General features: G+C 49.0%; 7 annotated features.

Annotated features, from left to right (window-relative positions):
• Positions 1,483 to 2,140: an enhancer, noted in NCBI's record as "H3K27ac hESC enhancer chr1:26827864-26828521 (GRCh37/hg19 assembly coordinates)". NCBI's record gives its function as "activates a minimal SCP1, AML or CMV promoter by ChIP-STARR-seq in naive H9 embryonic stem cells {active_cell/tissue: H9 hESC(naive)}" and the evidence as "EXISTENCE:reporter gene assay evidence [ECO:0000049][PMID:30033119]".
• Positions 1,483 to 2,169: a biological region, named in NCBI's record as "H3K27ac hESC enhancer GRCh37_chr1:26827864-26828521".
• Positions 2,010 to 2,069: an enhancer, noted in NCBI's record as "active region_505". NCBI's record gives its function as "activates an Ori minimal core promoter by ATAC-STARR-seq in GM12878 lymphoblastoid cells {active_cell/tissue: GM12878}" and the evidence as "EXISTENCE:reporter gene assay evidence [ECO:0000049][PMID:35858748]".
• Positions 2,100 to 2,169: an enhancer, noted in NCBI's record as "active region_504". NCBI's record gives its function as "activates an Ori minimal core promoter by ATAC-STARR-seq in GM12878 lymphoblastoid cells {active_cell/tissue: GM12878}" and the evidence as "EXISTENCE:reporter gene assay evidence [ECO:0000049][PMID:35858748]".
• Positions 2,350 to 2,839: a silencer, noted in NCBI's record as "silent region_481". NCBI's record gives its function as "represses an Ori minimal core promoter by ATAC-STARR-seq in GM12878 lymphoblastoid cells {active_cell/tissue: GM12878}" and the evidence as "EXISTENCE:reporter gene assay evidence [ECO:0000049][PMID:35858748]".
• Positions 3,050 to 3,229: a silencer, noted in NCBI's record as "silent region_480". NCBI's record gives its function as "represses an Ori minimal core promoter by ATAC-STARR-seq in GM12878 lymphoblastoid cells {active_cell/tissue: GM12878}" and the evidence as "EXISTENCE:reporter gene assay evidence [ECO:0000049][PMID:35858748]".
• Positions 24,369 to 24,569: a silencer, noted in NCBI's record as "peak134 fragment used in MPRA reporter construct". NCBI's record gives its function as "represses an SCP1 promoter by STARR-seq MPRAs in K562 erythroleukemia cells {active_cell/tissue: K562}" and the evidence as "EXISTENCE:reporter gene assay evidence [ECO:0000049][PMID:32103011]".

Here is a 25,602-nt window from a genome sequence, read left to right as displayed (position 1 = left end):
TGTTTCTACTAAAAATATAAAATTTAGCCGGGCATGGCAGCATGCACCTGTAACCCCAGCTACTCAGAAGGCTAAGGCCAGAGAATTGCTTGAACCTGGGAGGTGGAGGTTGCAGTGAGCCCAGATTGCACCACTGCACTCCAGCCTGGGTGACAGAGCAAGACTCCATCTCAAAAAAAAAAAGAAAGAAAGAAAATTGGGACAAAAAATAATAAAGATATAGAAAAGTTCTGAGCTTCTTACCAACCAAAACAAAGAGGGAAACAAGAATCATGCTAACCAAGAGGTTTATAAAACCAACAAACCAGCAGTTTCTTGTAATCATAAGGATTCTGGGGCCTGGTGCGGTGGCTCACGCCTGTAATCCCAGCACTTTGGGAGGCCAAGGTGGGTGCATCACCTGAGGTCGGGAGTTGGAGACTAGCCTGGCCAACATGGTGAAACCCTGTCTCTACTACAAATGCAAAAATTAGCCGGGTGTGGTGGTGCATGCCTGTAGTTCCAGCTACTCGGGAGGCTGAGGCAGAAGAATCGCTTGAACCCGGGAGGCGGAGATTGGGGTGAGCCAAGATTGCGCCTGGGCACTCCAGCCTGGGCAACAAGAGCGAGACTCTGTCTCAAAAAAAAAAAAAAAAAAAAAAAAGTATTCTGGTGGTAGCAAAATTCCCATTCATTATGGCCTACCAGTTCACTAGTAGAAAGGCCAGTCACCTGTTCTTATATGACTATAATGAGGGACTGGAAAAGAGCTGGTGGCAACAGGAGAATGAGATGGAGAAAGGTAGCCCTTACAGGATAGGGAGGAGGAAACGCAGTGCATTCGGGGTAGAGGGCACAGAATGAGCAAGGCTAGGGAGGCTATTCTATTCTCATAAAAGGAAAAATAAACAAAATGTATAAAACCAATCCCTTTCTCCCTACTTGCACGCGCGTGCACACACACACACACCCCCAATCCAACTCCAAAAAGCACTGCAAAAAAGCAAAAGCCTTTACCAAAGTTCTCGGGAGGACATTGCAAAGGGGTTACACAGCACATCTCACAGCAAGATGTTCATTCATTCATTTCTTAGAGACAGGGTCTCTGTCACCCAGGATAGAGTGGCTGCTCACTGCAGCCTCGACCTCCTGGGCTCAAGTGATCCTCCCACCCCAGCCTCCGGAGTAGCTGGGACTACAGGCGGATGACAGCACCTGGCAAATTTTGTTTATATTTTGTAGAGACAGGGTCTCTCAGTGTTGCCCAGACTGGACTCAAACTCCTGGCCTCAAGCAATCCCTCTGCCTCAGGCTCCCAAAATGTTGCTATTGCAGGCATGAGCCACACACAGAGCCCGGCAGAGATGTCCTTTCTTTTTTTTTTTTTTCCTTTTCTGTTTTCTCTGTCGCCCAGGCTGGAGTGCAGTGGCACGATCTTGATCTTGGTGGCTCACTGTAACCTCTGCCTCCCAGGTTCAAGCGAGTCTCCTGCCTCAGCCTCCCCAGCAGTTAGGATTACAGGCGCGCGTTTCCACGCCTGGCTAATTTGTTGTATTTTTGGCAGAGACGGGGTCTTGCTATGTTGCCCAGGCTGGTCTCGAACCCCTGGCCTCAAGCAATCCGCCCACCTCGGCCTCCCAAAGTGCTGGGATTACAGTTGTGCCTGGCCACTTTTACATAAAAAAAACTTTTCTGAGGGAAAAACAGGCAGGAAGAATTTCCAGGTATTTCCAGGCCGAATGGCAAAACAAGATATGACAGAAAAAAAAAGGGCCCCAAGGACTCTGCACCTCGGTCCTATCCCTGTGCAGTTTGAGCTCTTCAGCCCTCAAAGTGCCCTTCTGGCCACCACCTGGTCCTCTTTTGCAAAGACTGCACGAGAAAGGAGCCAGCCGAGGTGCCCTCAGGTCCAAGCCCTTGTGACCTGGAGCTCTTTCTCCATGTGGCTTGAGGTCCCAAGGTTTCCCCAATGCCAAATCCTTTTGAAACTGAATATGAAGGAGGGGCTCTGAGGGACCCCCATCGCTTTGCCAGGTTTTCAGAGCGCGGCCCACCCTGCAGTTGTGGAGAGAGGGAGTCGTCGCGGAGTTCCCAAACCGCTGAAGGGCAGACCTGGACCGTTCCTGGAATGTGGGAAATGAGTGCGACGGCATACTGGGGCTGCATCAGCCCGTCTCTAGAAAAACCATCGCCTCCAGATCTGGCCCCCAGATTGAGTCCCAGGATTTCCGGGCTGGTTCCAAGAACCTGATCCGGAAAATGGGCGCGGTTCCTGTCTCCTCCCCCTTCCCCTCGGGCCGGTTGGGCACAGTACTTAGGACCCAAATCTGGACCTAATGCCAAGGCCGCCCATCCAGCGCCCAGACTCAGCTGGCCTTGCGCTCCCTGAAGCCACTCGCGGGTACTGGGGACGCCCCTCCCCGTCCCGCGGCCCCTACCCCCACTTCCGCGTAGTCCCGGCTCCCGTCACCCCGCGCGCGCCCCGCGGGAACCCGAGCCCGCCGACCCCGCCCTTCCAGGCCCCGCCCCCGGTGACGCCCCGCCCCGGCACGTGCGCGCGCGTGGTCTGCCAGCTTCTCTGGCCCTGCAAGGCGACCCCTAAGCGCAATGTCCGGGACCCGCGGTCAGAGGGCCGGAGTGAGGGTGGCAGCGCTCAGGGAAGGAGGCGGAGGCAGAGGCCTCTTTCTTCCCCCGAGGTGGAGAGGGCCCCGGGTCGGAGGAGCGAGGGCCGCACCGCTGGAGCCCACTCCCGCCTCCTTCCCCACGGGCCGGCGCACTTGGGAGCTGGACAGGACGCTCTTCCTGGGCTCGGAGCAGGCGCGGGCCCGGGTTGAGCCGAGCCTGAGCAGGGGCAGGCTCTAGCTGGCGGCTGGCCAGATGCCCTCCAGGTGCGCAGCGCGTGACCTGCGGCAGGGCGGGGCGGCCCCACGAGAGTTCTTCGAGGGTGGCGGGCGAGTCACGTGAGCAGGGGTTGGGGTCCGCCGGATAATGGGGGATGCGGGAGCCCGCTGGAGGAGTGGAGGGGCGCCTTGGGGAACGGCGGTTAAGCCCCAGCGACGCTCCTGGCCTGGATGTCGGGCCGTATCCTTGTCGAGGCTGGGGAGCTGGGCCGAGGAGCCCCATCCCGCGGGCGCCGCCTCCCAGGTGGGGCGCGGAGCTCGGCTCTGCGCCGCCACCGTGTGGCCGAAGGGGGCAGCGCCTGCTTGGTGCCAGGAGGCTCCTCGGGGCTGACGGCGGGGACTCGCACGAGGCACCGAGGAGCCTCTGGCGATCGGCTTTCGATACCCTGCCCCCTTCCGAGCTAGGGTCCAGGAGTGGGGTTGAGGTTGCCATGGCGACGGGTGCGCGGGCTGGTATCTTCCTCTGGCTGCTGTGGGGCCGGGGCGTGGACACCCAGCATCTGCCCTCACCCTGCTCACTGAATCACCTTGGTGTGGACGAGGATTATCCTTCCCAAAAGCAGCCAGGCCTCCCAACAACCAACCAGCTTTTTTTGTTTTGTTATTTTTTTAAAAAAAAATAGAGATAGGGTCTCGCTCTGTTGGCCAGGCTGTCCTCCCAAAGTGCTGGGGTTACAGGCATAAGCCCCCGCGCGCAGCCCCAGCTTTCTTTTTTTTCTTTTTGCTGGAGTTAAGCAGTATGATCTCGGCTCGCTGCAACTTCCGCCTCCAAGGTTCAAGCCGTTCTCCTGCCTCAGCCTCCCAAGTAGCTGGGACTACAGGCACGAGACACCACGCCTGGCTAATTTTTGTATTTTTAGTAGAGACGGGGTTTTGCCAAGGCGAGGCCAAGGCAGGTGGATCACGAGGTCAGGAGTTCAAGACCAGCCTGGCCAACATGGTGAAACCCCATCTCTACTAAAAATACAACAATTAGCCAGGCGTGGTGGTGCGCACCTGTAGTCTCAGTTACTCGGGAGGCTGAGGCAGGAGAATTGCTTGAATCCGGGAGGCAGAGGTTGCAGTGAGTCCATATCATGCCACTGCACTCCAGTCTGGGCGACAGAGCAAGACTGTCTCAAAAAAAAAAAAAAAAAAATACCTAGGGCCCCCAGCTGTAGTCATGTCCCATTCTGGAAAACACTACCATAGGGAATTACTGGAAGTACCCTGGGGAGGTAGGATGAAGCCACTGTTGGTTGAGCAAGGTTGTCTGTGTATCAAGTAAGGAGGCTTGCTGCTTTTCATAATTCTTTCTGAGCCCCAGATCTATCAGCATATCTGATCTTAACCTTCCCTGCTGGCAACACTTCGGTGACTCCCAGTTCTCTTCCAGACAAAGAGCAAATGTCTTAACATGGCCCGCAAGGCCCTTTGGGATCTTGAGATAGGTCCACCATGGCTCCACTGGGCTGGTGAATGAGGGAATGAGATAGGAGAACCAAGAAACAGGGAGGACTTCCTGGAGGAAGTGACATTTGAGCTGAAATCTCACCAATTTATGTGCGAGAACCAGGTGATGGTGGTGAAGCGCTTTCTAGGGAGAAGGAACAGCGTGTAAACAGTTCCTGAGACAGGAGGAAACCTTGTGCATGTGACCACCTGAAAGAGGCCTGAAGAAGAAACCGGAGGAATCTGCAGAGGCCAGATCCTGAGTGCCTGGCGCATCACAGACTGTGATTTTTTTTTTTTTTTTTTGAGACAGTCTTGCTCTGTCACCCAGGCTGGAGTGCAGTTGTGCCATCCATGGCTTACTGCAGCATCGACCTCCTAGGCTCAAGCAATCCTTCCACCTCAGCCTCCCTAGCAGCTGGGACTACAGGTGTGTGCCACTATGCCTGGCTAATTTTTGTATTTTTTGTAGAGCCAGGGTTTCCCTGTGTTGCCCAGGCTTAGACTGTGATCTTAATACTGTGCTGTCAGAAGCCATTCAGAGTTCCAAGCTGGGGGGTGACTTTTATTCAATGACGTGAACAACAAATACTTCTTGAGCACCTACTACATGTAGAATGCTGGGGATTTTATAGTAACCAGACTCTTGCAATCTCTGTCATTGGGAAGCTTATACTCTTTTCTTTTCCTAATCAAAGTTATATATGCACAAAGTTTAAACAGATAAGTTTTTATAAAAACAGCAGGCTGGGCATGATTATCACACCTATAATCCCAGCACTTTGGGAGGCCAAGGTGGGAGGATTGCTTGAGCCCAGGAGTTCAAGACCAGCCTGGGCAACATAGTGAGACCTCCATCTCTACTAAGAAAACAAAAAGACATCGCCCATTCCACTGAAGCAGAGGCACCCATTTTCAACTCCTTTAACTGACTATATTTTATATTTATCTCCATATCTCGAAATAAATGTGCTTGTTTTGCTCTTTCTTGATATTTCAGTTATAGGCACTATCTCTTGTTTTTCTACCATGGAAAATAGTTTTATTTTTTGGGTTTTTGTGAGACAGGGTCTCACTCTGTCACCCAGGCTGGAGTGCAGTGGTGCCATCCATGGCTCACTGCAGCCTCGACCTTCCTGGTTCAAGTGATCCTCAGCTCAGCCTCTTGAGTAGCTGGGACAATAGGTGCGCACCACCATGCCAGGCTAATATTTTTTTCTGTTTTTTGTAGAGATGGGGTCTCACTTTTGTTGCCCAGGCTGGAGGACGATAGTTTTAACACTTCCCATCACCAGCCATACGGATAATCCCCATCTCTCTAAACTGCCATCATAATTTTGTTTTGTTCAATTCTCATTGTTTACATTATTCGACGGCGCTATGATTCCTTTCCTCTACAACTTTTTGTTTTCCTGCAGCTCTTAATTGTCCTGTTTTACCACTTGCTTAGTGTATTCCACTCCCTACCAGGTATCTAAATCTCCTCTCAAGATGTTCAGACAGGCTGGGCGTGGTGGCTCACGCCTGTAATCCCAGCACTCTGGGAGGCCGAGGCAGGTGGATCAGAGGGTCAGGAGATTGAGACCATTCTGGTTAACACGGTGAAACCCCCTCTCTACTAAAAAATATAAAAAATTAGCTGGGCGTGGTGGTGGGCGCCTGTAGTCCCAGCTACTCGGGAGGCTGAGGCAGGAGAATGGCGTGAACCCTGGAGACGGAGCTTGCACTGAGCCGAGATTGCGCCACTGCACTCCAGCCTGGGAGACAGAGCAAGACTCTGTCTCAAAAAAAAAAAAAAAAGATATTCAGACAAATCAGATACCTCAGGTTGGTCTCTCTGGAAGGTACACAGAAGAAGAGGTTTGTTAGGGATCAACACCTATGAAAGGAAGTGGGAGGAAGCAGGATTGGGCAGAAGTCAAACTACAGTGCAGGCCTGGCAAAGCCTAGGCCAACCTGGCAAGGAGCTCTGGAGTGAGTTTTGCCCATCAGAGTGTGCCAAGCCTGGCTGGAATGGCCAGGCCTTTATACCACTGCCTGGCTCAGTCACCTGATGGGGGCCGCCCTGGGGAAGGATGAGGAAGGATGTGGAAGGATGTGATCTTGGGCGAGGAGGCTGTCTGCATCTGAGGCCAGCCCTGGAGCTGACAGCTGGAGGCTGTCTGCTGTCCAAACTCCCTGCAGCTGGGCAGCAGGCCCTTCCTTGAACAGCGGGCGGGGTGGGGGGTGTTGGGAGGCTCATCTCCATGACTACCACATCAATCTTCTATCACTTTCATGTTCTTGAAGAAGTTTTCTTGGAGTCCTCTGTTCTGCTCCAGTCTGGAGTGTTTGCCCTTTATACCTGGTGAGCAGGTATCACTCTGGGCAGGGAAAGATCCAGATTGTTTAGGGTCTAAAACTTATGCAGGCATGGTGTGGTGGCTCAGAATTTTGGGAGGCCAAAGTGAGAGAATCTAGGCCAGGAGTTCAAGACCAGCCTGGGCAACGTAACAAGCCCCACTTTCTACCATCAGTCATTCAGTCCAAAATTATCTGGGTGTGGTGGAAGTTGAGGCAGGAGGATTGCTTGAGCCCAGGAGATCAAGGCTGCATTGAGGCGTGTTTGCGCCACTGTATTCCAGCCTGGGCAAAAGAGTGAGGCCTTGTCTCAAAAAAAAAAAAAAAAAAGCTTATACATTCTGAGTCCTTTTATTTATTTAGAGACAGTCTGGCTCTGTCATCCAGGCTGGAGTGCAGTGGCGCCATCTTGGCTCACTGCAACCTCCACCTCCAGGGTTCAAACGATTCTTGTGCCTCAGCCTCCCGAGTAGTTGGGATTACAGGCGTGTGCCACCACGCCTGGCTAATTCTTTTATATTTTTAGTAGAGACAGGGTTTCACCATGTTGGCCAGGCTGGTCTCTAACTCCAGGCCTCAGGTGATCCACCTGCCTCAGCCTCCCAAAGTGCTGGGATTACAGGCATGAGCCACTGCTGGCCTTTTTTTTGTTTTTGTTTTTGTTTTTTTGAGACGGAGTCTCAGTCTGTCACCCAGGCTGGAGTACAGTGGCACGATCTCTGCTCACTGCAGCCTCCGCCTCCAGGGTTCAAGCGATTCTTCTGCCTCAGCCTCCCGAGTCTCAGTGGTGTGATCTCTGCTCACTGCAGCCTCAAACTCCTGAGCTCAAGCAATCCTCCCACCTCAGCCTCCTTAGTAGTAGCTGGGACCACAGGTGCTTACTACCATGCCCAGCTAGTATTTTGCATTTTTAGTAAAGATGGGGTTTCACCATGTTGGCCAGGCTGGTCTTGAACTCTCTACTTCAGGTGATCCGCCCACCTCGACCTCCCGAAGTGCTGGGATTACAGGTGTGAGCCACCGTGCCCGGCCTATTATTTTTTATTGAGACAGGGTCTTGCTCTGTCGCCCAGGCTGGAGTGCAGTGGCACCATCTCTGCTCACTGAAACCTGGACCTCCTGGGCTCAATTGATGTGCTCTCCTCAGCCTTCTGAGTAGCTGAGATAAAGATGCATACCATAGTGCTGGGCTAATTTTTGTGTTTTTTCTTTTTCTTTTTTTTTTTGAGACGGAGTTTCACTCTGTCACCCAGGCTGGAGTGTGGTGGCGTGATCTCGGCTCACTGCAACCTCTGCCTCCTGGGTTCAAACGATTCTCCTGCCTCAGCCTCCCGAGTAGCTGGGACTACAGACAGGCGCGCGCCACCACACCCGGCTAATTTTTTGTATTTTTAGTAGAGACGGGGTTTCACCGTGTTAGCCAGGATGGTCTCAATTTCCTGACCTTGTGATCCGCCCGCCTCAGCTTCCCAAAGTGCTGGGATTACAGGCGTGAGCCACTGTGCCCGGCAATTTTTGTATTTTTTGTAGAGACAAGGTTTCACCATGTTGCTCAGGCTGGTTTCGAACTCCTGAGCTCAAGCAATCCATCTGCCCGCCTTGGCCTCCCAAAGTGCTGGGATTACAGTCATGAGCCACTGCGCCTGGCCTTTCAGTTTTTAATTGATTCCTCCCCTCTGTTGTCTCTTTCTTTCTCAGGCTAGAGTGCCATGGGTCTATCTCCTTGTTGCAGCCTCTGCCTCCAGGAGGATCAAGCCATCCTCCCACCTCAGCCTTCTGAGTAGCTGGGACTACAGGCTCGAGCCACCACTCCCGGCTAATTTTTGTATTTTTTTCTAGAGATGGGGTTTCACCATGTTGTCCAAGCTGCTCTTGGACTCCTGGGTTCAAGCCATCCGCCAGCCTCAGCCTCCCAAAGTGCTGGGATTACAGGTGTGAGCCACTACGCCCAGCCCTAGTCCCCTCTCTTTTCTATGCTTTCTCTTTCTGTAATTTCTTTAATTCAAATGTTGGGTGTCCTGGACCAGGCCCCTAATTATCTTTTTCCTTCCCCTTTTTTATCCCTTTTTCTCTTTGTTCTACTATCTGGAAGATTTCTCCAAATTTATCTTCCAGCCCTTTCATTGAATTTTTAGATCCCAAGGACTTTTTGTTGGTGGTGGTGGTTGACTGTTTCTTTTGTTTGTTTGTTTGTTTGTTTTTGAGACAGAGTCTTGCTCTGTCACCCAGGCTGGAGTGCAGTGGCGCGATTTTGGCTCACTGCAACCTTCGCCTCCCCAGTTCAAGTGATTCTCCTCTCAGTCTCCCGAGTAGCTGGGATTACAGGTGTGCACCACCATGCCCGGCTGATTTTTGTATTTTTAGTAGAGACGGGGTTTCACCATCTTGGCCAGGCTGGTCTTGAACTCCTGACCTTGTGATCTGCCTGCCTCAGCCTCCCAAAGTACGGGGATTACAGGCGTGAGTCACCGTGCCCGGCCTTGACTGTTTCTTTTTAAAATAACATCCTCTTCAGCTGGGCACGGTGTATTTTTGTATCAAAAAATACAAAAATTAGCCGGGCATTGTGGTGTGCACCTGTAATCCCAGCTACTTGGGAGGCTGGGACAGAACAATTGCTTGAACCCAGGAGGCGGATGTTGCAGTGAGCCAAGATCACACCAGTGTACTCCAGCCTGGGTGACAGAGCAAGATTCTGTCTCCCAAAAAAGTAAATAAATAAAATAACATCCTCTTCTTGCATCATAGATGTAATCTCTTCTCTTCTCTCTCTGAAGATGTTAACAGTAGGTCTTTCTTCTTGGCTTGGTCAGATTTCCTTTAGACAACACTTTTCCTGCTCTCTTGCCTAGGGAGCAAAGCCATGGCGGCCAGCTTTCTGGGAGCCAATTTGGGAAACAGGGTTGGTGTGGGGTCTCAGCATTCACAGTGTGTGTGTTCACTTCGTCTCCTGATTTGGGGAGGATACCCCCGCCCTCAACCATGCCTGTGATCTCTCATTCCAGTGATCCTGTTTTCTCCTCTCGGAGAGTAAACCTCCAGTGTTCCGCCAGGATTAGGGAAGCCACCCAGGGACCTAATAATTTTCATCCTTAAACAGCAGGGTCCAACTCCTCCTTATTTTATTCCTCCTCGCCCCCATAAACAGGTGCCTGAGCCTTTGGGGGAGTCTGTGATCTGGACTGGGTGGGTTCTCCTCTTTCCCCACATCCAGTTTAGGGTACAGTTTTCATGGGTTTGCTGTGTAGTGACCACCTGACCATCTGCTTCCCAGCCTCCAAATGCTGTGCATTTGTCTCCTCCCTCATTCTCCCCATCTTAGTGGGTTTATGCCTTAAAAAGAATCTCTTTACTGTAGTTTCAGTGAAGTTTTGGGAGGAAGTGAAATTGGATGTGTATGTTCAATTTGCAGAGCCTCTATTCTCGCCTAAACCAATACACAGATTAATAATTACAGACTGTGAGAGCTACAAAGGAAACAAATAAGGGGCCAAGATGAGAACAGGCAGGAATACTTAGGCTTGAAAAATGCAGATTTGCATCTTTAAATATGTGTCTTACTGCACTCCCGTCTGGGCGACAGAGCCAGACCCTGTCTCAAAAAAATAAAAATAAAAATAAAATATGCGTCTTGCTGCTGTGCAGAGAAGAGATTGTCCAGGAACAAGCAGGGAGTGTGGGAGACAGTGAGGAAGCCACTGAGATCAAGGTGAGGGATGGGGTTGATTGGAAAGGTCATGGCTATAAAGCTAGAAGGAGCCATTTAGGATTCAGAGAGACTGTGACCTCCAGGAGGACAGGCACCATGTCCATTTTATTCCCTGATGTTTACATACCCAGAGCCTAACATGGTCCCTGGCCATCACAGACATTGTATAAAATACTTATGGAATGGACATGGTAGATGAGGAAGAGAGACGAGTCCAGGATGACCTTCAGGTCCTCTGAGGGCTATGAGTGTGTAGCCAAAGGGAGCCACAGGTGGTGTGGGAGCAGGGGAATGACCAGGTGAGAGTCTTACCTGCGTCATTGGGCCCCTCCACTTCCTGGCCTGTCTCCCACCACACCCCCCAGTCTGGCCTCCTCACTCAAGCACTTCCCTCTGCCTAACATTCCCTTTCCCTAGCCCCACTCTTTCAACCTGGCCACTCCACTGTCCGTCCTGACCTCAGGAGGCCTCAGTCAAATTCTGATACCCGTTCTTTTTCTGCAGAACTCTTTTTTTTTTTTTTTTTGAGACAGAGTTTCGTTCTTGTTGCCCAGGCTGGAGTGCAATGGCACTATCTCAGCTCACGGCAACCTCAGCCTCCCAGGTTCAAGCGATTCTTCTGCCTCAGCCTCCCCAGTAGCTGGGATTGCAGGCATGTGCCACCACGCCCAGCTAATTTTGTATTTTTAGTAAAGATGGGGTTTCTCCATGTTGGTCAGGCTGGTCTGGAACTCCTGACCTAAGGTGATCTGCCCGCCTCAACCTCCCAAAATGCTGGGGTTACAGGTGTGAGCCGCCACGCCTGGTCTTCTGCAGAACTCTGACCTCAGTCTGCAGTTGTTGGGGTTCTGTGCTGAATGTCAGACTCCCTCATAGAATGTAGGCTTCATGAGCGAAGGAACCTGCCTGTTTTGCTTGTCATTGTGTCCCCAGCACCTAGGACTGGACCTGACACACAGAAGAGGGCGCAATAAATAGTTGTTGAATGAACTAAAGTGTCATCTTGCAAAAGTGGTGGGACAGGAAAGAGGCTGAGGGGAGACCACAGAGGAGGCATGGTCGCACCTGGGAGGGAGAGGCACAGTCCGGGCACAAGAGGAGCAGAAGCTCTGAGAGAGGGTCATTGTGGGGATTAAATGAGCATGTGGAGACCACTATATGAGTGCTATTTCTTCCCTTCCTGAAGCCTCTCTGCTCAGTCCTGGTCCACTGTTTCTCTGACTGTGGTCAGTGGTGGGCACAAAGGAGTAGAGGGTCTTCTTTGGTCTGGCCTGGGACTGAAGACAAGAGGAAATATAATTTCCTATGATATTCATTCAATAGATGAGGAAGCCAGGCCTCAGAGAGGAGAAGTGACTTGCCCAAGGTCACACAGTCAGGGACAGAGCCAGGATTAGAACCTAAGCCTACTCAGACCCTGAGCCTAGGGTCTTCCCACTGTGCCTCCCAGTTGCTGTCGACCCCTTTGTGGACAGGTTGAGAAAATTTCCTTCACCAGGAGATCCACAATGCTCTTCTTCCAGATCTAAGACATGCACACAACTAACTCCCTTAGAAACTGCAGAATGAGGCTGGGCATCCGGCTCATGCCTGTAATCCCAGAACTTTGGGAGGCCGAGGTGGGCAGATCATTTGAGATCAGGAGTTTGAGACCAGCCTGGCCAACATGGTGAAACCCTATCTCTACTAAAAATACAAAAATTAGCCAGGCATGGTGGCGCATGCCTCTAATCCCAGCTACTGGAGAGGCTGAAGCAGGAGAATCGCTTGAACCAGGGAGATGGAGGTTGCAGTGGGCCAAGATCACAACACTGCACTCCGGCCTGGGCGACAGAAAGAGACCCCGTCTCAAAACGAACAAGCAGATGGGCGCAGTGGCTCACGCCTGTAATCTCAACATTTTGGGAGGCCAAAGCGGCTGGATCACCTGAGGTCAGGAGTTTGAGACCAGCCTGGCTAACCTGGCTAACGTGGTAAAACCCTGTCTCTACTAAAAGTATAAAAATTAACTGGGTGTGGTGGCGGGTGCTTGTAATCCCAGCTACTTGGGAGACTGAGGCAAGAGAATTGCTTGAACCTGGGAGGCAGAGGTTGCAGTGAGCTGAGATCATGCCACTGCACTCCAGCCTGGGCAACAGAATGAGACTGTGTCTCAAAACAGACAAACAAACAAACAAAACAGAAATCCAGGAATGAGGGTCACCCCCTCTCCTCCCATCTCCTGTGCTGGGCCAGAGCCCACCTGCAACTGCGGCTTAGGAGCTAGTTATAGACCCCAACCTCCACCCCAGTCTCCAGTGTACTCGGGATGGTCAGAGAGGGGAAGTTGGGGCACAAAGGCAGGCCCGGGGTGGTAAGGGTCCTGGAACCAGGTGGCTTCAGGTTTGCATTCAGCTCTCCACTACCTTACTAATTTACCTTGGCTAAGTCACTTCACCTCCCTGAGCCCCATGTTATTCAGCTGTAAAATGGTTGGGGAAAAACCCTCTTCTTAGAGCTCTTCTGAGGTTGTTGACTTGAGATTGGTGGCCCATAGACACCCAGTCCATATTTATTGAGTGACTGGCTGGCTGATCAAATGCATGTTAGAGGTTTGTTAGCACAAGGCCTGGCTCGCGGGGGTTCTTGCTGTGCTTCTCCTTGGTGCCTGGCCCTACCATGTGCTGCACCTTTAATGCAGTCTCCTCTCCAAGCCTCAGTCCTATCCCACATAGGTCCTTCAGCCTGTTGGGCTACCACGACCAGGCGCTGCTGCTGTGACAAACCAGCCCTCCCCTTCCCCCTACTTAGGGTCTCTTCAATGCTTTCCAGCCAAGCCCCACCCCCAGCTTATGTCCCTCATTGTCCCACCTGTGGCCCTGCTTATGACCTCAGACTTGAAGCTTGTCTCTTTTCAGCCTCTTGTATTTGCCCTCAATCACAGGTGACTTGGTCTCATAACATTGTTTGGTTCCTGTATAGCATCCAATAGTCAAGGCCTGGTTTGACAAATTATAATACTGCATATTATGGGTATCCATGGCACACAGCAGTTAATAACTTAATTGATGAACTCAAGATGCCCGAATTCAAGTCCCAGCTCGACCACTCGTTGGCTCTGTGACTTTGGGGAAATTATTTAACTTTTCTGCATTTCGGTTTCCTCATTTATAAAAGGGAATAACAAACAGCCTGGGCAACATAGCAAGACCCAGTCTCTATAAGAAATAATAAAACTAGCCAGGCATAGTGGTGCATGCCTGTGGTCCTAGCTACTCGGGAGGCTGAGGTGGAGGATCACTTGAGTCCAGGAGTTGGAGGCTGCAGTGAGCTATGATCCAGTCTGGGTGACAGAGCAAGGCTCTGTCTCTTTAAACATTTTTTTTTAATTAAAAAAAGTTTTTTTATTTTTTTTATTTTTATTTTTTTAGAGATGGGGTCTCATCATCTTGGCCAGGCTGCTCTTGAACTCCTGGGCTCAAGTGATCCTCCTGCCTCAATCCTCCCTAAGTGCTGGGATTACAGGCGTGAACCACCATGCCCAGCCAAGACTCTGTCTCAAGAAAATAATTAAAATATAAAAATAAAATAAAATGGGGTTGGGCATGGTGGCTCACACCTGTAATCCTAGCACTTTGTGAGACCGAAGTTGGAGGACTGCTTGAGCCCAGGAGTTGGAGACTAGCCTGAGCAACATAGGAAGACCCCGTCTCTACAAAAAAAAAAAAATTTTAATTAGCTGGATGTGATGGTGCTCATCTGTAGTCAGGAGGCAGAGGTGGGGGGATTGCTTGAGCCCAGGTCAACTTGCAGTGAGCTATGATCCCACCATTGCACTCCAGCCTGGGTGGCAGACTGAGGCCCTGTCTCAAAAAAAATTAATTAAATTAAATTAAATGGGATAACAATAGTTTTTACCTGGTAAGGTTGTTGCTAAAAAATTAAATTACTTAGAATGGAAGCTCTATAAGGGCAAGGATTTTGTTCACTGGTGCATCCCCCATGCCTAGCCTAGTGCCTGGCACAGATAAGCTATTCAATAAATGTTACAAGTGTGTGAAGTAGCAATGCACATAAAGCAGCACTGTCAAATAGAAATATAATGCAAGCACACATGCAGTCTTCAGATTTCTAGTAGCCATGTGAAACTAAAAAGAAATGGGAAATTGGCCAGGCACGGTGGCTCACGCCTGTAATCCCAGCACTTTGGGAGGCTGAGGTGGGGGGATCACCTGAGGTCGGGAGTTCGAGACCAGCCTGACCAACATGGAGAAACTCTGTCTCTACTAAAAATACAAAATTAGCCAGGCTTGGTGACACATGCCTGTAATCCCAGCTACTTGGGAGGCTGAGGCAGGAGAATCGCTTGAACCCGGGAGGTGAAGGTTGTGGTGAACCTAGATCGTGCCACTGCACGCCAGCCTGGGCAACAAAAGCGAAACTCCCTCTCAAAAAAAAAAAAAAAAAAAAGAATCATTCTTACTGTAATCTTAGCAACCCTCAGTGTATATATATATATATAAAATATATATTATATATGTATTATATATAATATATATTATATATGTATTATATATAATATATGTATTATCTATAATATATTATAGATATTATAATATATATTATATATATGTTATATATAATACATATATTATATATATTATATATATGTTATATATAATACATATATTATATATATTATATATATATATATATTTTTTTTCTTTTTAGACCGAGTCTCACTCTGTCACCCAGGCTGGAGTGTAATGGCACAATCTCAGCTCACTGCAACCTCTGCCTCCCGGATTCAAGCCATTCTCCTGCCTCAGCCTCCCAAGTAGCTGGGATTACAAGTACGCATCTGCTAATTTTTGTATTCTTTTTAGTAGATACAGGGTTTCACCATGTTGGCCAGACTGGTCTTGATCTCCCAACCTTGTGATCCACCCTCCTCGGTCTCCCAAAGTGCTGGAATTACAGGTTTGAGCCACCGTGCCGGGCCTGATTTTTTTTTTTTTTCCTGAAGTAGAGAACTTTCCGCCTTTTCACTTAAAGAAAGCACTTTGCGGCGGCTTCTCTTTGGCATATCCACATTATGAGTATCACTCCTCCTGTGCTTTGAGGCCATTTTTTTCTTTTTTCTTTTTTTTTTTTTTAAGATGGAGTCTTGCTCTGTCCCCCACACTGGAGTGCAGTGGCACAATCTCGGCTCACTGCAAGCTCCGCCTCCAGGGTTCACGCCATTCTCCTGCCTCAGCCTCCTGAGTAGCTGGGACTACAGGCACCTGCCACCACACCCAGCTAATTTTTTGTATTTTTAGTAGAGACGGGGTTTCACCGTGTTAGCCAGGATGGTCTCGATCTCCTGACCTCGTGATCCGCCCGCCTCGGCCTCCCAGAGTGCTGGGATTCCAGGCGTGAGCCCCCGTGACCAGCCTGAGGCCATTATTAAAATAAGGGCTACCTGAACACAAGCACCGCAGTACCTCAACCAGCGATCTGATAACCGAGATGGCTCTGAAGTGACCAACGGGCAGGAAGCACAGACAGTATGGACATGCTGGACAAAGGAATGATTAATGTCTTAGGCAAGAGGGACAGAGATGGTGCAAGATTTCATCATGCTACTCAGAATGGCACATAATTTAAAATTATTATTTCTGGAACTTTCCAATTAAAATTTTCAGACCTTGGGCAACTGAAACCATGGAAAGGCAAACAGCAGATTAGGGGGGACTACTGTACCTGACAAAAAGAAAGGCATTTGACTTCACTGAGTATCTGGAGGGTGGGAGCTCTGAAGTTGGCTTGACAGCTCCGTGCTGTCTCAGGCTTTCCTCTGCTCTGCCATCCTCAGTGTGTTGGCATTTGGCCTCAGGGTCACAAGGTGGTTGTTGCAGCTCCAAGCTTCAGATCCTCATAAATATCTCAAGGAGGAAGCAAGCAGGGAGGCAGCAATAAATCCTTTTCCTCTAGAAACTTTTCCCCCCCAAGAAAATCTTTCTCATACTTCAGCGGGCACAACAATCACCTCAATCACCTAAACAGTTTTTTTTTTTTTTTTTGAGATAGGGTCTCACTCTGTTGCCTAGGCTGGAGTGCAGTGGTGTGATCATGGCTCACTGCAGCCTCCACCTCCTGGGCTCAATCAATCCACTCACCTAAGTCTCCCAAGTAGCTGGGATTACAGGTGCATGCCACCACGGGCAGCTAATTTTTAAAAATTTTGTAGAGACAAGGTCCCATTATGTTGCCCAGGCTGGTCTCAAACTCCTGAGCTCAAGTGATCCTCCTGCCTTAGCCTCCCAAAGAGCTGGGATTACAGGCATGAGCCACCATGACCAGCCACCTAAACAGTTTTTGTTTGTTTTTTGTTTTTCTGAGATAGAGTCTCACTCTGTCGCCCAAGCTGGAGTGCAGTAGTGCAATCTTGGCTCACTGCAACATCTGCTCCTGGGTTCAAGCAATTCTCCTGCCTCAGCCTCCCAAGTAGCTGGGATTACAGGCGTGTGCCACCATGCCCAGCTAGTTTTTGTATTTTTAGTAGAGATGGGGTTTCACAATGTTGGCCAGGCTGGTCTCGAACTGGCTGGGCTCAAACTCCTGACCTCGTGATCCACCTGCCTCAGCCTCCAAAGTGCTAGGATTACAGGCGTGAGCCACCGTGCCCGGCCCTAAACAGTTTTTAAAGCCATGGTCCTAGGCCCCATCTTCAGGGATTCTGACTCTGTGAGTCTGAAGCAGGGCCCAAGAACTCCATTGCTAAGTTCACAGGTATGCTGATGCACTGGTCCCCAAGAGATAATGGTGGCGTGGACTAGGTTGTGTCTCATCCTGGTGTTACCCTTAGCCCTTCAGAAAGAGGTGGCTGAGGAAAGGATAAAATGCTGATACTAGACTTGGAAAGGTGGGAGGGTGGTGAGGGATGAGAAATTACCTGATGGAGGGTGGGCGTAGTGGCTCACGCCTCTAATCCCAGCACTTTGAGAGGCTGAGGTGCGTGGATCACCTGATGTCGGGAGTTTGAGACCAGCCTGAGCAACATGGAGAAACCCCGTCTCTACTAAAATTACAAAATTAGCCAGGTGTGGTGGTGCATGCCTGTAATCCCAGCTACTCGGGAGGCTGAGGCAGGAGAATCGCTTGAACCTGGGAGGCAGAGGTTGCAGTGAGCCGAGATTGTGCCTGGGCACTCTAGCCTGGGCAACAGGAGTGAAACTCCGTCTCAGAAAAAAAAAAAAAAAAAAAAAAAGAGAAATTACCTGATGAATACAGTGCACACGTGCACACTCTTCAGGTGATGGTTGCACTAAAAGCCCAGACTTCAACACTACCCAAAGTATCCATGTAATGCAACTTCATGTATGCCCCCTAAAAATATGTTTTAAAAATTTAGGCCGGGCCCAGTGGCTCATGCCTGTAATCCCAGCACTTTGGGAGGTCAAGGTGGGCGGATCACGAGGTCAGGAGATCGAGACTATCCTGACGAACACGGTGAAACCCCGTCTCTACTAAAAATACAAAAATATTAGCCGGGCGTGGTGGTGGGCGCCTGTAGTCCCAGCTACTTGGGAGGCTGAGGCAGGAGAATGGCGTGAACCCGGGAGGCGGAGCTTGCAGTGAGCCGAGATCGCGCCACTGCACTCCAGCCTGGGCGACAGAGTGAAACTCTGTCTCAAAAAAAAAAAAAAAAAAAAAATTAAAGCTGACACTTTATTTGGGAGATGCAAGAATGATCCAATAGAAGAAATGGATAAGGCAAGCAAGGAGGTACCTGTGTGGGCTTAGCCTCAGAGGAGCAGAGGGATAGGTCCCGATCACAAGTTGAAAGTTTGGCTTTAGAGATTACCCCCATAATAGTAGGGGACCCAAGCGGCCTGTACACTGTGCTGCAGGTAGGTAGTAGAGGAGGTGGTGGGAAGACGAGGTAGCTCTTTTCTCACCACATCTTCTATCACCATGAAGTATGAAGGGAAATTGCTGATGTGGGTGAAGAAAGCAGGTTAGCGATGGGAGATAAGGTGAAGGTGTCAAATAGTTTATCCAAGACAGGAAAGGTGCCTATATTAGGGAAAGTAATTGGAGAGTTTGGCAGTGTTGAGGGCCCATTTGAAATCTGCGGTTGTAACTATAAGGTGCGTCTAGTTAGCACGATGGTGTAGTACTCTTATGCAACGTCCAGCTGTTTGGGTACAGGTGCCAGCTAAGTGCTGGGTTAAGTGTGATAGAGAAGGGAGTTCAGTGTCTAACTCTCTTCGTGCTGGACCATAGAATCTAGGCTGACAAAGAAGGTATGTGAAGACAGGAGGGGACTGGTGGAGAAAAGGTGAGTTAGGTTAATGGGCTGGGTGTGGTGGCTCACGCCTGTAATCCTTGGGCTTCAGGAGGCCAAGGCAAGAGGATGATGGAGTCTTGCTCAGTTGCCCAGGGTGGAGTGCAGTGGCGTGATCTTGGCTCACTGCAAGCTCCAACTCCTGGGTTCATGCCATTCTTCTGCCCCAGCCTCCTGAGTAGCTGGGACTACAGGCGCCCACCACCACGCCCGGCTAATTTTTTTTTGTATTTTTAGTAGAGACGGGGTTTCACCATGTTAGCCAGGATGGTCTCGATCTCCTGACCTCGTGATCCACCCGCCTCGGCCTCCCAAAGTGGTGGGATTATAGGCGTGAGCCACTGCGCCCGGCAAATGAGTGCATTTTTAAAAGAAGATACTTGGACAGTTAGAAATTTTAAAATTTGGGTATTTCATAATATTAAGAAATTAATGTGGACAGTGGTATAAACAAGAACTGCGACAAGTTACTAAGTGTTGAAGTTGTGTGGTGGGAGTATGGGACTCATTGTATTATCCTACTTTTGCACATATTTGAAATTTTTCCATGACCAAAAATAGACATTTTTTTCAAAGTCAAGTCACCATGACTTAACACACTCACTGAAAATATGCGATGATGGGGAGTGAGAGATGAATCTGGGATAACTTTCAGGTTTCTAGCTTGAGGGGTGGAATGGGTGGTGGTGCTTTTGTTACGGGCATGTGAACCAGAGCAACTGCATCTTAAATAGGAACTAGGGAAAATGAGGCTGAGACCTGCTGGACTTCATTCCCAGATGGTTAAGGCATTCTAAGTCACAGAATGAGATAGGAGGACAGCATAAGATACAGGTCATGAAGACCTTGCTGATAAAACAGGTTGCAGTAAAGAAGCTGGCTAAATCCCACCCAAACCAAGATGGCAACGAGAGTGACCTCTGGTCATCCTCACCACCAGTGTCACGACAGTTTACAAATGCCATGGCAATGTCAGGAAGTTACCCTATGAGGTCTCAAAAGGGGAGGCATGAATAACCCACCCCTTGTTTAGCATATCATCAAAAAAATAACCAAAAAAATGGGCAACCAGCAGACCTTAGGGCTGCTTTGTCTATGGAGTAGCCATTCTTTTATTCCTTTCTTTTATTTTTAATGTTTATTTTTTCGAGACAGTCTCGCTCTGTTGCCCGGGCTGGAGTGCAGTGGACCGATCTCGGCTCACTGCAATCTCTGCCACCTGGGTTCAAGCAATTCTCCTGTCTCAGCCCCACAGTAGCTGGGACTACAGGCACCCACCACCACGCCTAGCTAATTTTAGTATTTTTTAGTAGAAATGGGGTTTCACCATACTGGTCAGGCCAGTCTTGAACTCCTGATCTCAGGTGATCCACCCACCTTGACCTCCCAAAGTGTTGGGATTACAGGTGTGAGTCACTGCACCCAGCCTCCTTTACTTTCTTAATAAACTTGCTTTTGCTTTGCACTGTGGATTCGCCTTGAATTCTTTCTTGCTCGAGATCCAAGAACCCTCTCTTGGGGTCTGGATCAAGACCTCTTTCCTGTAATACTTGTAAAAGATTGAGGGGAACTAGAGGAGGTGGTTTGTGAAGAGCAAGGAGAGTTGAATTTTGGTCATGTTGAGTTTGGGGTGCCTGTGGTACATCTGGATGGGACTACACAGGAGGATGATGGAAATACTGACCTCAAGAGAGATTGGGAGGGATGCAAATGTGAGTCGCTTGATGACATCATGAGGAAAAACTGAAGAGGAGGGGATTGCAAAGGGGCTGGAGGAATGCCGTCTCAGAAACTAGAAGTTCTAGCCCAGGAAGAGGGCTAGAAAAGTTTTTAAAAGGAAATGCTTGGACTCCTACCTCACACACTATACAAAAATTAACTCAAAATAGATCAAAGACCTAAAGTGAAGAGCTAAAACTATTTAAAACTCTTGGAGAACATGGGTGTAAATCTTCATGACTGTGGACTAGGCAATGGTTTCTTAGATATAACACTAAAAGCACAAGTAACCAAAAATAAGTAAACAGGACTGCATCACAATTAAAAACTTGGTTTGTCAAAGGACAGTATTAAGAAAGTGAAGAAGGGCCGGGCGCAGTGGCTACTCCTGTAATCCCAGCGCTTAAGGAGGCTGAGGCAGGAGGATTGTTTGAGTTCAAGACCAGCCTAGGCGACATGGTTAAGACTCCGTCTCTACAAAAAATCTAAAAATTAGCTGGGCGTCATGACACATGTCTGTAATCCCAGCTATTCAGGAGGCTGAAGTGGGAGTATCACCTGAGCTCAGAGACTGAAGCTGCAGTGAGCAGTGTTCATGCCACTGAACTCCAGGCTGGGTGACAGAGCCGGACTCTTATCTCAAAAACAAAACAAAACAAAACACACACACACAGAATGAAGGGATTACGGATATTATAAGTATCTAATATGGAAACTATATAAAGAACTCAGGCTTGGTGTGGTGGCTCATGCCACTAATCCCCAGCACTTTGGGAGGCTAAGGAGGGCAGATCACTTGAGGCCAGGAGTTTGAGATCAGCCTGGCCAACATGGTGAAACCCCGTCTCTACTAAAAATACAAAAATTAGGCCAGGGTTGGTGGCTCATGCCTGTATCCCAGCACTTTGGGAGGCCGAGGTGGGCGGATCACCTGAAGTCAGGGGTTCAAGACCAGCCTGGTCAACATGGCGAAACCCCATCTCTACTAAAAAATACAAAAATTAGCTGGGTGTGGTGGCAGACACCTGTAATCCCAGCTACTCGGGAGGCTGAGGCAGGATAATTGCTTGAACCCAGGAGGCGGAGGTTACAGTGAGCTGAGATCGCACCACTGCACTCCAGCCTGGGTGACACGGGGGAGACTCCATCTCCAAAAAAAGGCTCGGTAGCTCAAGGCTGTAATCCCAGCACTTTGGGAGGTGGGCAGATTACCTAAGGTCAGGAGTTCAAGACCAGCCTGGCCAACATGGTGAAACCCTGGTCTCTACTAAAAATACAAAAATTAGCCGGGCATGGTGGCAGGCGCCTGTAATCCCAGCTACTTGGAAGGCTGAAACAGGAGAATCACTTGAACCTGGGAGGCGGAGGTTGCAGTAAGCTGAGATCCCGCTACTACACTCCAGCCTGGTGACAGAGCAAGACTTGGTCTCAAAAAAAATTATCTGGGCACGGTGGCGCACGCCTGTAATCCCAACTGCTCGGAAGACTGAGGCATAAGAATCTCTTGAACCCGGGAGGCGGAGTTTGCAATGAATGAAGATTGCACCACTGCACTCCAGCCTGGGGGACGGAGTTGAGATTCTGCCTCAAAAACCCCGCCCAAACAAAAAACTAGCTGGACATGGTGCTGTGTGCGCCTGTAGTCCTGGCTACAAGGGGGGATTGTTTGAGCCCAGATCAACACTGCAGTGAGCTGTGTTTGCACAACTACACTCCAGCCTGGGAGACACAGTTAGATCCTGTCTCAAAAATCAAAAACCAAAAACTACACACACACACACATATATATACATAAAGAACTCTGAGGCCAGGGGCAGGGGCTCACGCCTGTAATCACAGTACTTTGGGAGGCTGAGGTGGGCGGATCATCTGAGGTCAGAAGTTCAAGATCAGCCTGGCCAACATTGCAAAACCCTGTCTCTACTAAAAATACAAAAATTAGCCAGGCGTGGTTGTGCATTGCCTGTAATCCCAGCTACTTGGGAGGCTGAGGCATAAGAATCTCTTGAGCCTGAGAGGCAGAGGTTGCAGTGAGCCGAGATTGCACCATTGCACTCTAGCTTGGGGGACACAGCGAGACCGTCTGAAAATAAAAGAAAAGAAAGAATAGAAAAGGTGGCTCATGCCTGTAATCCCAGCATTTTGGAAGGCCGAGGCAGGCGGATCACCTGAGGTCAGGAGTTCGAGACCAGCCTGGCCAATATGGTGAATCCCCGTCTCTACTAAAAATAGAAAAAAATTAGCCGGGCACAGTTGTGGTCATCTGTAATCCCGGCTACTCTGGAGGCTGAGACAGGGAGAACTGCTTGAACCCAGGAGGCAGAGGATGCAGTGAGCTGAGATCATGCCACTGCACTCCAGCCTGGGTGACAGAGCAAGACTCACTCTAAAAAAAAAAAAAAAAAGAAAGAAAAGTAAGAGAAAAGAACTCTTACACTTCAACAATAAAAACAACCCACAAAGAATACTTTCCTGAGAAGCATGTTAAACACACACACACACTCCCTAATTATAACTTGGCAAAGGATGTGAATAGACACTTCTTTAAAAAAAGATGCACAGGCTGGGCACAGTGGCTCACACCTGTAATCCCAGCACTTTGGGATACTGAGGTGGGCAGATCACCTGAGGTCAGGAGTTCAAGACCAGCCTGGTGGCCAACATGGTGAAACCCCTCTCTATAAAAATACAAAAATTAGCTGGGCATGATGTTGGGTGCGTGTAATCCCAGCTACTCAGGAGGCTGAGGCAGGAGAATCACTTGAACCCGGGAGGCGGAGGTTGCAGTGAGCTGAGATCGCGCCATTGCACTCCAGCCTGGGCGAGAGAGCAAGACTGTCTCAAAAAAAAAAAAAAAAAAAAAAAAAGCCAGTACGGTGGCTCCCACTCATGCCTGTAATCCTAGCACTTTGGGAGGCCAAGGCAGGCGGATCACAACGACAAGGTCAGGAGTTCCAGACCAGCCTGGCCAATATGGTGAAACCCTGTCTCTACTAAAAATACAAAAATTAGCCAGGTGTGGTGGCGGGCACCTGTAGTCCCAGCTACTCGGGAGGCTGAGGCAGGAGAATCACTTGAATCCAGGAGGCAGAGGTTGCAGTGACCAGAGATTGCACCACTGCACTCCAGCCTGGGAGACAGAGCAAGACTCTGTCTCAAAAAATAAAAAATAATAAATAAATAAATGAGGCCAGGCATGGTGGCTCACACTTGTAACCCCAGCACTTTGGGAGGCCAAGGTGGGCAGATCACCTGAGGTCAGGAATTTGAGGCCAGTCTGGCCAACATGATGAAACCCTGTCTCTACTAAAAATACAAACAATTAGCCGGGTGTGGTGGTGGGCACACGTAATCCCAGCTACTCGGGAGGCTGAGGCAGCAGAATCGCCCAGGAGGGGGAGGCTGCAGTGAGCTGAGATCACGCCACTGCACTCCAGCCTGGGTGACAAAAGCAATACTGTCTTAAAAAGAAAGAAAAGGCCGGGCAAGGTGGCTCACACCTGTAACCCCAGTACTTTGGGAGGCCAAGGCAGGTGATCACCTGAGGTCGGGAGTTCAAGACCAGCCTGACCAACATGGAGAAACCCCGTCTCTACTAAAAATACAAAAAATTAGCCATGCATGGTGGCACATGCCTGTAATCCCAGCTACTTGGGAGGCTGAGGCAGAATAATTGCTTGAACCTGGGAGGAGGAGGTTGCAGTGAGCCGAGATCATGTGACTGCACTCCAGCCTGGGCAACGAGAGCGAAGTTCCGTCTCAAAAAAAGAAAGAAAGAAAGAAAAAAGTACGAGTTACCATATGACCCAGCAATTTCATTCCTAGGTATGTGCCCAAATGAGCTAAAAACATATGCCTACAAAAACTTCTATATGATATTTGTAGCAGCATTATTCACAATAGTCCCAAAGTGGAAATCACCCAAATGTACATCAACTGATGAGTAAATAAAATGTGACTTATCCAATGTGATATATCCATACAATGGAATGTTATTTGGCAGTACAAGTTATCAAATACATATGATACGGATGAACCTTGAAAACATGCTAAGTGAAAGAAACCAGTCGTGAAAAAACACAGATTGATTCCATTTAGATGAAATATCCAGAAAAGGTCTAGAGAGACAGAAAGTAATTAGTGATTGTCTAGGGATGGGGGAGGAAGAAATGGGGAGTTAACTGCTAATGGGCATGGAGCTTTTTGGGGGTGATGAAAATATTCAGAGGCTGGGCAGGGTAGTTCATGCCTATAATCCCAGAACTTTGGGAGGCCAAGGTGGGCAGATCACTTGAGGTCAGGAGTTCAAGACTCTAGCCTGGGCAACATGGCAAAACCCTGTCTCTACCAAAAACACAAAAAATTAGCCAGGCATGGTGTGTGCCTGTAGTCCTAGCTATTTGGGAGGCTGAGGTGGGAGCTTGAGCCTGGGAGGTAGATGCTGCGGTGAGCAATAAGCTGAGATCATACCACTGCAATCCAGCCTGGGTGACACAGTGAGACACCCCCATCTCAAAAAAAAAAAAAATATATATATATATATATATATATATATATATATATATATACACATATATTTATATATATATACACATATATTTATATATATATACACATATATTTATATATATATATATACACACACACACACGTATATATTCCAGAATTAGATAGTGGCAATAGTTGCACAATGTTGTGAATGTACTAAAACCACTGTAGTATATGCTTTAAAATTGTGAATTTTGGCTGGGTGTGGTGGCCAGCACTTTGGTAGGCCAGGGTGGGAGGACTGCTTTGTGCCCAGGAGTTGAATACCAGGCTGGGCAACACAAGACTCCATCTCTTAAAATAATGATATAGTGGTGACTTTTTTTTTCCCCAAGAGCGTTAAGTATATTTATTTTTTAAATTTTATTATTATTATACTTTAAGTTTTAGGGTACATGTGCACAACGTGCAGGTTACATACGTATACATGTGCCATGTTGGTGTGCTGCACCCATTAACTCGTCATTTAGCATTACGTATATCTCCTAATGCTATCCCTCCCCCCAAAGTGGTGACTTTTAATGGTATATGATTATTTCTCAATTTAAAGAAGGGGAGGGGTAATTCTCAGCAGTGTTAACTGCTGCAATGAATCAGGCCAGGCCTGAAGAGACCGTGCAGCAGGCTGTCCACACAACAGCCATTTTCCTCTATCATCATCCCTC

This window comes from Homo sapiens, chromosome 1 (assembly GCF_000001405.40).
Source record: "Homo sapiens chromosome 1, GRCh38.p14 Primary Assembly".
Classification (NCBI taxonomy): domain Eukaryota; kingdom Metazoa; phylum Chordata; class Mammalia; order Primates; family Hominidae; genus Homo; species Homo sapiens.
This window is presented reverse-complemented; position numbering and strand designations above follow the sequence as displayed.